We start from the raw sequence: 13,943 nt of genomic DNA on the forward strand, positions 1-13,943 counted from the left end.
TAGTCTCACTCTGCCTCCCAGGATGAAGTGCAGTTTCTGAACACAGCTCACTATAACCCTGACCTCCTGGGCTCAAGCAACGCTCCCATCTCTGCTTCCCAAGTAAAAGGGACCATAGGTGCACACTGGGACCATAGGTGTGTGCCACCATGCCTGGCTGATTTTCTTTCTTTTTTTTTTTTTGTAGGGACAGGGTCTCATGTTGACTAGGCTGGTCTCAAACTCCTGGCCTCAAGCAATCCTCCCACCTTGGCCTCTGAAAGTGATGGGATTTCAGGTGTGAGCCACTGCGCCCAGCCAGGAAGTAGGAGATTCTTAAATAGGTGATAATAGTATCAGTTATTATCGGTGTTAGTGGTTTGATTTCATTGAAATAGCTCAGGCTAAGGAACAATACTTTAATGGCAGGGAGAGAAGTATGTTGATGAACTGGATTTGTCAGCTCTTTCCTGATGACTAAAATCAAATGTGAAGTGGTTATTGCCATTTAGCATATCCCCAGAATTCAGACTTTATGATTTCCCTGTCACTCACCAAATCAAAATCAGAGTATCCCAAAGTAGATATGTTAGAAGAAGAAAACCAAAAGATTGAATAACTCAATCAATTTGGGAAATGTTGAGCTAACTGGTGTTAAATAGTCATCTTTCTTGCAGGATTTCTGAGAGCCTCATTATGCTAATGTACATTGTATATTTCCCACAAAATAACAGTCTTCCCAACTTTATATTTATCCATGGAATTCATTTTTGCCAAAGCATCACATGTGACCAGTGACAAGTGAATGCTGCATTGCTTGGCAACACCGTTCTAAGTAGTAATCTAGAAACACCTGTAAACACATATACTAACTCCCTCAGGAGAATTTTTAAATGGTTTCACAAATATAAATCTATTATTTTCATCAATGATGCGCTAATTTCAGAAACTATGAGATTAGTCATGATATTAAGTCAGTTCCACCAGGTTGCTTCACCAGAAGCACCGAAGAGTTTCATATCAGTGAATAAATGTCTGAATTCAAAATCTGTGACATCACTTTCAAGTAAAGGGGACCAGTCTGTAGACAAAACAGAATGTACACCTGTCACTGCCATTCTTTTGAGTCATTACAGTTTATAAATTTATACACCATGAAAAGCTTTATTTATGTTCATACGGTGTGAAAATTGCAAGAAAAACTTTAAATTAATTACCTTTTTTTAAAGAAAGCAATTGAAATTTATCACAGACAGTAAGGGAATTTATTTACATGCCATAAAGCTTCTTAAAATACAGTCATGAAATATGAGTTAGGAAAAGTAGCTCATGCCCTCACATGTCCTCAAGACGGAAAAGCAAATTAGCTGGCCTTAACTGCAAACCACAGTCTTGTGGCTTTGGTCTCTCTCCTCAGCTTAGCTTTTGCAGGATCTCAAAGGCAGACTTGACTCAACAATATGATCTTTTCTTTTGGGTTTACTCAACATTTTCCCCCAGAATCTACATGATCTGCTCTTAAGAAGCTGAGCAGTTAAGACAGTTTATCATGGTTTCCCCTCACACCTCAGGAATAGACACCAGTTGAACCACATCTCAGAATCCATTTAGCTGGGGGTGAGGAGGGGTGCTTCTAGGACTGGATCTTTTTTCCTCTCTCTCTCTTAGAAGTATCTTTTTATTTCACTGTGAAATAAGCTGATTAGTATGTAGAAAAGCAACAGTCCGTTGATTTCCACAAATGCGTTTTGATTTTTTATTCTGGGCTTCAAGTCTTTCCTGCATACATTTAACCGCAGCCCACTCCATCAAAGGTACATTTACTGGGCTGAGGGTTTAGGGGGTGGGCTCCTCCCTGGAATCTTGCTTACATTTGCATGTGAAAAGAAAGAAATGCTTTTGAGTAATTAGTCATCTGAAATTCTGCACCATGAGGAAAAAAAATTGCTTTTGGATATTTATGGAGAGAAAAATCCATATGGACAATGAATACCCTATTAATGCATTGGGGGGAAGGGACAGGGATGTAGCACATTATGTTGAATTTCATCCAAACAATGATAAAAATAATATTGCCACTTTCTTATAAATAGTAGCTACAATAGAAAGTAGCACAAAGCTGTCTTACTCACAACTTAAATTTCTTATATTTATTCTATGATCTTAAAAAGCCCTTTCTTTTTGACCTAATATGTTCATGCCATATTGAAGAAACTCATGATCAATATGTATTGATTTGATCACTAATTGCATTAATTTTGCTTTAGAAATTAGAAAGGCTCTAATGAAAATGTGAAGTCACTTCAAGATAGTACATTATGGGCAGGCTAATTTAGCTGGGCTCTGTGCATCAGATTATTTCATTATGAACCTTCAATTACCATACAAACGAATGAGATAAATAGCCTTTTCTGAGCAGATTTACATTTTTGAATTCGTCTATAAATTTCAAGAGCTTAAGTTAATTTATAACCTAACATCATATTTAATATACAAATAGTTCAATCATGAATGCATTATCTGCATAAACCCTTACTCTGGCCCTTCACATTATGCTTTGAACAACATTTGAAACAATCACTGTTTTTTAAATACTTGCTTGTACTACATTTAATCTCTTAAAGAAAAATGTGAAATAAATATTTTTGTTAAAATCTTGCATATTATTGCTTAGCAATTGGCGCAATGAAACCAAGTGATGAAGAGGTATGCTGTTCAAGATTTATAAAACCCTAGAGATGTGAAATAGTCAAGCTGATTGTGAAATTGAGTGCAGATGCTAAAATAACATCTCAAGAAACAAGAGAACATAGAGCCTTTTAAATTCTTAATGTATTTCTGCTGTTTGAAAAAACCTACCTGTACAATTGAATTAAATAAAAAAGACACCAGAAGTAGATATCTTTACCATAAGATTCTACTTAATTTGGTCTTGGGGTGGAGTGGTATTGTGGTAGATGGGAGAAATGTGGCCAGAAGGCAAAAGTAAAGATAATGTTAAGGAGGTGCCCAGAATTCTGAGATATCTTGAAGAAAAACAATGCATCAAAATAAAATCTAGGTAATATTTTGCAAATAAGTATTTGAAAGTTCATTCTGTTCTCAGGCTGTGTATTTATATACACTGAAGAAAATGAAATAGCTAGCACTAATGGATATTTCATGTGGTCCTATAAAGTTTTGAAGTGGTGCTGATAATAATAATGGACAGAACATGCCATCTACTTTTGCTGTTTAGTATTTCATGATAAAATCATGAACACACAGTCTGGGCATCTAATTCGTACAGTTATTATTATTGTACACTTAGGAATTTTAAAACCTCTAAAATAGTCCAATGGTTCAATTTATACCTTCATTCATTATTCTTATTCACTGACATTATAAGACCCTCATGGCATGATAATCAAAAATCAGTGAATTATCACATAATTTAGGATAAAGCATATTTCACAAGCAAAGGCTTTATGAGAGAATATCAGGGCTGAGGGCTCAATAGAGATCAACTAGCCCCTTAGCACTCAATGTGCAGTCTTAGATGAGCACCTGGGAACAAATGTGGACTCTCTTTGCAGACCTTTGAATCCAAATCTAAATTTAGTATGATGCCCAGGAAATTCATGTGCATGTTAGTTTGAGAAGTACTTGTTTAGTCTTTCATTATCTTTTTATAAACATGGCAACTAAGGCAAAGAAAGCTTGAGAATGCTGTTCAAGGTGGCAAAAATTAACTCTTATCTATGGCTGAAAGCTATGGTGGTTCAAGCATGGTGCTTTGTAGATCCCAGTCATGGGTCAGGTCTACAAAGGTTAACTTTGCTGAACTCCCAGCCAGCTTTGGGAATTGCTTGTAATGGTTATAAAGAGCATGTTTGAGAGTATGTTGATGGATGGATACTAGTGTAGCACCATTCCAAGAACAATCATTCTGAATTTCTATTTTTCAGAATCATTTAATCAGTCCAGCTCACGAGCAAGTGCCAACATCCATCTACCCTGCACTACCTTCTAGATAGAAAATTCAGAATAAGAGATAATAGTTGTATCCTTAATTTACCCATTCATAGAAAAAGTGTGAGAGTCAAGCATGACATGTTTGTCAATATTTCACCACATAAAAATTAAAACAGCAAGGGGTGATAACAAGTGGAGGAATTTTTAGTGTGGCTACCTGCAGCTGAGTATGTACAAAGCAAGTAAACAGTGGCCCAGTATAGACACAGCTGAGGGCACTTAATTAGTGACAATTACTACATTGTTCTAAGCTGCCTGTAACCTTGCTTTCTCCCTTTAGATAAACTCATTTAAGTAAATACAATGTCAAGAAAATGGACAAGCCCTTTGACTTGCTAGAGAACCATGAAAGTGCTGTATTCTATCAATTAAACATGATTCTTTCTTTTAAGAGGAATTAGATCTAACATTTGCTTCAAAATTTCATACAGCTCTCCACACATTGTGTATATTAGTTCTTTAGTGTTAAATGTGTAGCAAATCGATTTTTCTTTTCAAAAATTTATACTAATAATGATCACACACTAAATCTTTTTTTTTAATTATACTTTAAATTTTAGGGTACATGTGCACAATGTGCAGGTTTGTTACATAGTTATACATGTGCCATGTTGGTGTGCTCTACCCATTAACTCGTCATTTAGCATTAGATATATCTCCTAATGCTATCCCTCCTCCCTCATACTAAATCTTAATGGTTGGAGCCTTTCAGAAATTACTTACCTAGAAATACGTTTTAAGAAACAGTTTTGCAACTCACTGATAAAAAATATTGTTAAAGGGATAAACAATTTGGATGCTTTTCTAATTCATCACATTAAGTGAGAATGGTGTCCAGGCAGTAGTTTGGAAATGCTTTGAAAAAGTCACAAATGAATTACCTTTTAAAAGTTTTTCACTTAACAAACATTTATTCAGAAGCTAGCATATAAATCTTTATTTAACAAACCTCTTTTTAGCAACTAGTACATGCTAGATGCTATAAGCAATAAGACATTGTATCAGCCTTTAATGAACTTATAATCAAAAAAGGCAAAAAGAATAGTGCATAAATAACTGTCATACAAAGAGGAAGGCCAAACTACAAGTCCAACTTCTTCAGTCCTATAGCCACGGCATTCTCAAGAGACAAGGTCCAGGCATTTTGTTCTCCTCTAACATCTGCACCAAACAACTCCTATGTCATCTGAGAGTCAGAGGATGGTGACAGCAGCTCCTCCAGCTCCCTGCCTCCTGCAAAAATGAGCAGAACCTTGTGCATTCACCCTGACAGATAAATGTCTTGCATTTGCTGCTTTTTTCTGGGAAATGTGGTGCATGTAAAATGAATATACTTTTATTTGGGACATTAGTCATGGAATGTGGGGGAGAAGGAGATGTTTGACCTACTTAAATATACTTAAGTATACAAGTTAATTTCTTCACAAACTATTTCCAAACTTCTTTTGTTTGACTTGGCATAGACCCCAGGTGACACCAGGCACGCACAGGAACATGGGAAAAAATGCTTTGTTGGTGGTGGATTCCCTCATGGTTTCACAAAGGAAAGGCATTAAAACTCAAGGAAGGTTTTAAGACTCAGTGTTTAATTTATGAAACCACATTTTAAAAATCCAAGCAGAGTAGTCATTTAATGAGGTCAGAAAGTAAGCTGTAACAACTTTAAGCTGGAATTTTACTGTTGTTCTATCACATGAAGAAATGAACGTTTTCTGTCTGTTAAGGATTTGAGATAAGCGCCTCCCACCAGTTGATACCTGACACTTGCAATCAGCTCACAAGAAAGGGGTGCTGCATCTAAAGCTACATTAACTCTTCAGTAACAGCTCAATCTCACTTATCCATGAAGTTCTGTCCGTGAAGTTTACAAGCACTAGGAACATGTCTCCAAGTTACACACAAGAGTCCTGGCCCTGGGCCCTAAATTACACATGGATCTGGAGCTGAGGAAGGCCTCGAATCTCTGGAATTCACCCTCCTCATCTGCACAATAGGGGCTGCAGTGCATGATCCCTCACAGCTCCATCATGGCCAGGGCAGAGAGTGAGATGTCCCTGTGTCAGTGGTACAGCTTGCTTGACTTCATTCCTTCTCTAGATTAACCATTCAAGGCTACACGATGTCAGGTTGCTCTCTAAGTCTACTGGCAGGGCAATGTATTGTGGTTTTCCACAGTCTTCACAACCAGCAGAGGGAGCGAAAGTGCATAGTAAATCAACTTTAATGAAGTATAAAATCTCTTTAAAAATTCTGTTTCATTAAAATAAAATCTGCTAAATGTGTCTGGGTTGAGAAATTTGACTTGCCTGGTATATTTGCCTGCTGTCTGTTAGTGTTTGTGTGTGGGAAGTCAGAATTTAAAAATTATGGCCACTATAGTTAATAACAATATATTGTATTCTTGAAAATTGCTGAGACTGGAAGCTTCCAGCTGCACTGAGCTCTGCCTCTATCCCAGTGATTCCCCACACTGCCAGTCAAGTCCCTAAGGAACTTGTCTCCTCCAGACGCAAGTGCATTCTATCCTGAAGAAGTCTGGTTGTGATAGGAGCCCCGTTCTTGTAGGGACAGAAAAGAAAAGGAGTGGAACATGGTCCAGCTGCCAGAAGAAAAATTGGATTGATGAAAAGGGTCTCCAATTTGGGCTGCTGCCTGAAAGACTTTGAAAAGTTTAGTTTTACTCCAGTCCCCACAGATGAGCTCTTCAACAACCCTACAGTGAATCTGTGCTCAGTGGCCCAGCCAACCAGCAACTGGCTGAGTTGGTTAGCAGAGCAGTGTTGTCTGGCTACAGCTGCGTCACGGTGAGAGGAGACCCCAGCCTGGCAATTAGTACCATTAGTGGTCATGCCTGGAACTGCCCAGACCTTTGTGTCACTTGGGTTGATGCCCAGAAGACATCAGTACACCCCTTACCACTTCATCAGGAAATCTCCATGGACTATCAGTTTCATTTCTCCTCACAGAACTACAGGGAAAGGTACCAGAACTTCCAGGATTTCCCTGGACAAACCTTGTATCTCCTCCCCAAGTATAGCGTATTCTGATCTAGGAGACATGGACCCTCTGGAACATTTTTTTAAAAGAACAATGATATCTAGTATTTTTCCGTGAGAGACATCAATCCATTTGGCACCCAGGAGGTCATGCAACAGAAATTTGATCTGCTGATTGGCAAAAGACAAAGGTCTGTCCATCTGAGTTTTGATATTGATGTATTTGACTGTACACTGGCTCCAGCTGCAGGAATCCCTATTGTAGGGGGACTGACCTTTCAAGAAGGCATCTATATTACTGGGGAAATACATAGTACAGGGTTGCTGTCAGCACTGGATCTTGTTGAAGTCAATCCTCAACTGGGCACTTTAGAGGAAAGGGCAAAGGCCACAGCTAGCCTGCCAGTAGATGTAACTGCTTTATGTTTGGGTCAGACAAGGGAAGGAGGGCACATTGCCCATGGCCAGATTTTCTCGTTTCCCAGCCAAGTCAGAAAATGAAGTGTGTGTGAGAATTTAGGAAATACTGTGCACTGTTTTGTTTCACAATGGGCATTCCAGAGCTGTAAGGCATTTGAGAATTTGAGAGGACAGGTATTAAGTGCTTATCTGGGTTAATATTGCCTTAATTAGAACACTTGCACATTCCCACAATTGTAGTTTCCCCTCTCCATTTTGGTGACTAATAATACCACTGTAAGTGTGTGTGTGTGTATATATATATATATATATATATATATATATATATATATATATTTTTTGCAGTTCACTGGGTATTAATGCATTGTAGTGCTATGTAAATTTAAAGATGCATAAGCAGCATTCGTTACCTTGGTATATCAAAAAATGGTAAGAAAGGAGATTTTTTAACTGTTTTCACCACAAAAAATAATTATGTGAGGTCATACATATGGTAATTGGCTTGATTTAGCCATTCCACAATGTGTACATATTTCAAAACAATATGTTGTGCCTGATAAATATATGCAATTTTTATTTGTCAACTTAAAAATTAATTAATTGAAAAAATAAATACCAAAAAGCCACAAGAGGAAGGAGATTAAGTCCACCCACACCTACCATTCTGCTGTCTAAAGATAAAGGAGGAGCCAGAGGATGCTGGGCCTGCAGGGAAGGAGGAGACGCGTATCAGCATCCTGGCTGGGAACAGAACTCAAGCCTCTCGACTGGACCCTGCTTTCCTTTTTTCACTCACTTACATGAAAATGGGCTTGGGATCAATAAGAATAATTCTGCTCAAGCTTTCCAATAGAAGAAAAACAGAGTAACCAGCCATGTTCTGCAGCTCTCACAGCAATCCTTCCCTCCAGCTGACTTGCTTCTCATCTGCTACTTTTCATGACGATAACGTGCTCCCGCATTTCATGGTGAAAGCTAAAGTCTTTAAAGTGGTCCGCCAGTCACTACACCACATGGCCTCCCTTTGCCCCTCGGACCTCTGGGTCTCCTCAATTCTCCCACAGCACCAGTGGCCAGTGTGCCTTTCCTGAAGCATGTCAGGCCTCTTCCCACTGAAAGCCTTTGAATTCGCTGTCCCCAGAGCACTGTTCCCCCAGAAGTCTGCATGGCTTAGTCCTTCTTTGTCTACTGAATGTCAACCCTCTTGATGCCCTATTTTAATTGTAAACTATCTGCTTTTCACTTTTCCTCCTCCCTTATTTTTCTCTACCTGACGTTCAGTACATATTATATGTCTTACTGTTTTCCTTATAAGTTCAGAGGTTTCTATCATTTTGCTCACTGTCGTTCAATGAATGACTAAATGAATGAGTCAATGAATTTTAAATTTAATTACATATGCAGTGTTTGAAAGAAAGAAAGCAAGTTTCCTTTAATGAAGGTATCATTATGTGCATATTATAGTTCTTTCGGCCTTACTCCCAAATAATTTTTTAATCGGTAGCTCCAAGATTGCTACATTGATTGAAATTCTAATTATTTGGCTGTGAGCACAAATGTGCTCATAACTTTATCATGTTGACATAAATATCAGTTATTTGGTAAGACAATGCTCCAGTCACCTCCTCCTGCTATAATGTCTAATTATCTATCTTGGGCTCTCACATTCCATTGTGAAAAACTAACATTAGCTCATATATAATAGTCATTCATAGTCTTTGCATGTTTGGTATGTGTGACCAAATGCCCTTTAATAGGTTCCATACTAATATTACATGAATATTAGTGAATTATCTAGTATAAATTTCTACAGGGCCTCTTAAGTAAATATGTATTTAGTTGGTTATGTTTTATGCATATTTAGAATTTGTTTGCATTATCCAACTTCACATGTATTATTTACCTGGTGGGAATATTTAGCTTTCTGACACTCTACTTTATCCTATGTATAAATTCACATATGTTTTATAATATTCATAACACTAATTCACCAAACGATCTTGATATCTGGTATATTATCATTTTCTTAATGAGATGTTATCTACAGCAAAGCATTTACTTAATCACTCACTTTTTGTTTGCTTGGTTTTGGGTGTTCCTCACTAAAAACAAGTATCTGTTGAAAAAAAAGGATGTCTCCAGAAAGTCAATGAGTCCTATAAAGAAAATTGTAGCAGACATTTTCTGAAGAAAAACTAATGTGTCAAAGGTAAGTAAAGCATAATTAATTTCTTGAAATTTTTTTTTATTTTCTTCCCCAGCTTATAAAAAGAAACCTCTCTTGTATGTTGGTCGGGCTGAAACCTAATTGCATAATCTGCATTATTTCATTCTCAATTGTCATTGAAACAACTCAAATTATTAAGTGTTTGCTTTCTATTTTCACATTTTTAAAATCTGATCTTTTGTTTAAAAAGTTGAGTCTAAAGAGCTAAAATTTGGGACAATTTAGAAGCTAAAGGGGGTGGATTAATAATTTGGTTATATTTTGCTGTCCAATCGGCATCTCATGGGAGTTTAGAAATAATTTTAGTTATTTGCTTTTAGTCCTTCTTATATAACGCTAACATAGTGGACCTACCATAGGCTGTTATTCCAACTAGTCTGATGGTTTGTTTGCAGACTATTTCATTAAGTTCTTAATTTTTTTCATTAAAATCTTTATGAAAGCTAAGTGGCAATTTCACATTGGAGAAATGAAGCAGTGAAAATGGCTATCATATATCCATCATTTAAACACAGTACTTGGGGTGCCATGTTCCAGCACCACAGCTTAATGTGCCAATACTGTGTAGTATAAACATCTCTTAATAGGTACCTGGGGTTGGAGTTTCTCTACTGTGTTCAACCTAAATGAGTACATGAGATTGCTATTGAAAGTGTTTTTATATCTGTTTGGAATCCAAATAAATTTATTGTTATGGAGTCTCTGTCTTAGAAAACAGATATTTAGGGTCTCTAAACTTTTATTTTGAAATATCAGTAGACTGACAAGCAGTAGCTAAAATAGTATACAGAGATTCTGTGTACCCTTCACCCAGCTTCTCCCATATAAAAAAATCCCATGCAACCATAGGGCTTTATTTGATTTTTAAAAAGGTATTATTTTATTAGAACAGTTTCAGATTTGCAGCAAAATTAAGAGGAAAGTATGGAGATTTCCCATATGCTTCTTGTCCTCCTCCCACATGCATAGCCTTCCCCGTATCAACATCCTCCACCAGGGTCATACATTCGTTAAAACTGGTAACTGCACATCATAATTGCCCAAAGTCCATTGATTACATTAGGGTTCACTCTTGGTGTTGTGCATTCTATAGGTTTGGGCAAATGTGTAATGACTGGTATCCACCATTACATGACTATTCACAGTAGTTTCACTGCTCTAAAACTCCACTGTTTTGCTTATGCATCCTTTTCTGCTACCTTCAACCCTTGGCAATCACTGATCTTTTTGTTGTCTCCGTAGTTTTGCCACTTTCAGAATGATTTGTAAAGTGAGGAGACTTTTGATGAACCTGTTCCTTCTGAGGCAGGATAGTTATAAAGATAAAAAACCAAGCCCCGTTGATTATCTCTTAGAACTAGCAACTAAACCCCATGATTCCTTGGGCAGTTCCAAGATTTCAAGTGCAGTATTCTTTATTTATATTTGCTTTGCTTAAATGTATCCAGCCTATTATTTAATAAATCAGCAAAAGAGAAAAGCAGAGAGAAATTAGCAGAGATATCTTTCCCCCAATTCCCTCCCCATCTCTTTTTTCCTCACCCAAAACAGCACTCCTGGAGAGATGTTTATGAGATCTGTAATTTCTGGGCCTATCAAAAGTGTTAATTTGTGAGTTTCTGGGTCTTTTTTCTCACTGTCCTTCAGAACGGGCACCCCAGGAGCATAAAGGCCAAGTCTGTCTCAGATCTGTCTATCATCTAATGACTGTCTTGAATTTTATAGTCTAGTATTATATAACTGTTTCTGTATTAAAGATTGTGGGTTTTTAAAAGCTGATTTCTATTTTTTCTTGAATAGATAGAGAGAGTTATTCTCTCTGAGAAGATGGGTTCTCCCTTGTCTGATGAACTTCAGAGCTTAAAAATAAGGCTGATTTGAAAGTAAATTTGCTGTCCTCTTTTGTTTTTATTTTTTGGTTCTGAGCCCAGGAACCTTTACCCTTTCTCTTCTCTTCCCTCATAATGAACCTGGTCTCTTGTCTCATTCTGTATGTAATCCCCTGGCTGACTCCTAGCTTCAGCTCCAGACTTGATACCAAAACCTGTGAACAGGGGAATTAAAAGCAAGCTGTACTCTCTCACCAACTTTCTCTGATTTCTAGGCCTCCTTCAGGTTGGACCCCAGGCTTCTCCTACTTCCTGTCCAAGTGGAGCAAATGCAGCTCAGCTGGTTCCTGAGTTGCTACTGCCCCACCCCTATGTCCACGTGCTGGTCTAAGAAGAGGGCAGGGATATTGAGAAAGTAACAGAGAAGGAGCAACAGTGACCATCTCTGCCCAAGTGTGAAGGCCTCCCTGGCCCTCCAAAGAGATGTACAGACTTGAGGAGATGCAAAGGTCCTTCTGGTTGTAGGACTTCAATTATGATCTCTGAGGATATGCTTCAAAATAAAGTCCCCCATATTGAAAATCACTGATCTCATTTCAAAGGATAAAAGCAATCTTTACTAGAAAAGTCACACACACACACGCACACACACACATACTGCCCCCCTGCCACACACACACAATGGTAACTATGGGTGGTGACATATGTGTTAATTAATGTTGTTGTAATAATTATGCAATGTATGTGTAATTAATTCATCCCATTATATACCTTGAATATATGCAATTTTTATTTATTAAATATTTTCTTAAGATCTCCTTAAAGTATTTCTTTTAACTCTTTAACCATTTCAGCAATATCATCTTTTCTTTCCTTCATGTTCTTATTCTTTCCCATTTAATTTTACTTTTAAGATAATTTTTCTCTCTGTTTTTTCAGGAATAACAATCTTCAAGGTTCTCCCTTTTTCCTTTAAAGGCAGTGATTGCAGATAAAGAAGCTGAAATTTTTGCTATTATGACACAAAACAGCATGGCTTGTAAAGAATTTTCCAGGGTCATTTGCCTGGGAGGTGCCCTGTCCCCTCCAATTTTGTACCAGATCTGAATTTTTTCTCTGTGACCTTGACAACAATTCTTCACATATTCATTCAATACTTACTAACTTTCCTGGGTGTCAGATAAGGCACTCAGGACACAGTGGTGACAAAATAGATAATTAAGGGAAGCTTACACTGTAGTTGGGGGAAACAGTCCATAAATAAGTAATTGAACAATAAGCAAGATACTGTCAGAATGAAACCAGGATCATGAAGAAAAGGAATCAGAATGATTTCAAAAAGCATTTGAGGGCAGGGGAACCTGGGACTCTTTTAATGGGTGCACCTAAAAGAGGGAAGACCTCACGAACATGTAAAGTCTGAGCGGAGTCCTAGAAGATAAGATAAAGCAACCATGAGAAGATTTTCTCTGAGAGCATGAGAAACAGGCTGCAGAGAACATCAAGTACCTGCCTTCTTCAGACATCTGTTTCCCCACAAATAGCCATCTATTTTACCTGCAGAGAATTTTGCAGTTATTCTCCTTCCCTCCCCCTCTGCCTTTCCCTCTCCCTCTTCCTCTCTCTCCGTGTGTGTGTGTGTGTGTGTGTGTGTGTGTGTGTGTTTGTATATGTGTAACTCTATGAAAAACACTTCATCTGAGAAGCCAACGTGTAAGTTAAATTTAAGGCAAATACAGAGTATAATAAGATTTGAGGGTGTAACAGAAGTAAAATAACCTTATTTGATCAACATTTTATTTCTACCTTAAATAAAAAGAAAAATGTTTCTATTTACAATGATTTGATACACTTCTGTAAGTGCATAAAAGCCTATAAGCTATCAAAGTTCATTCTATTAACTAAGGAGAAATCTTAAGGGCTACATCTGGATAATACCACAAATTCATAAATTAGTAATTTATAATTCCCCATTGTAAATGATCACTCAGCTGATACACATGAGGACACCTGGCAATCAAACTAAATATTCCCATTTCCAGATGCAAGACATAACTAACTGGTTAATTGCCTTTAAATTTTTGGCCTTATGGTTTATTTTTTAAAAATCATTAGAAAATAGATAGATGATGAAAAAAATGTGGTTCCAAAAGTTTTTCATTTTTCTGAAAAATACTTCCATTATCACTATTTTTAGCAAATTTAATTTAAAAATCTTTTTGTTTTTCTAAGCTTTGAGTTAGGGAAAATTTTAAAAGACTATAGGAGTTGGGGGAATTTTAATATTAGCCAAAAGGGTTTGAAGCAGAGAACTAGGATAAGAAAGGAAGTGAGGGGTGAGCAAAGGTCTCAAGCCAAATGGGGCAGAAGAAAGAGCCCAGCTAGTTGTGACAAATAGAGGGAGAGCAGCTGCTGACCAGCCTCATGACCTTATTTATTACATGGGGAGGAGAGTTGGCCAGTGATGGAAAAGGAGGA

At 37.4% G+C, this 13,943-nt stretch overlaps 1 pseudogene, besides 1 other annotated feature; it reads left to right on the plus strand.

Moving 5' to 3' along the window:
• Nucleotides 1,530-2,031: an enhancer, noted in NCBI's record as "NANOG hESC enhancer chr6:100620092-100620593 (GRCh37/hg19 assembly coordinates)". NCBI's record gives its function as "activates a minimal SCP1, AML or CMV promoter by ChIP-STARR-seq in naive H9 embryonic stem cells {active_cell/tissue: H9 hESC(naive)}" and the evidence as "EXISTENCE:reporter gene assay evidence [ECO:0000049][PMID:30033119]".
• Nucleotides 6,417-7,698, plus strand: ARG2P1 (ARG2 pseudogene 1; annotated as a pseudogene).

The sequence above is a fragment of the Homo sapiens genome, chromosome 6 (genome assembly GCF_000001405.40).
Source record: "Homo sapiens chromosome 6, GRCh38.p14 Primary Assembly".
In the NCBI taxonomy this organism is placed as follows: Eukaryota; Metazoa; Chordata; class Mammalia; order Primates; family Hominidae; genus Homo; species Homo sapiens.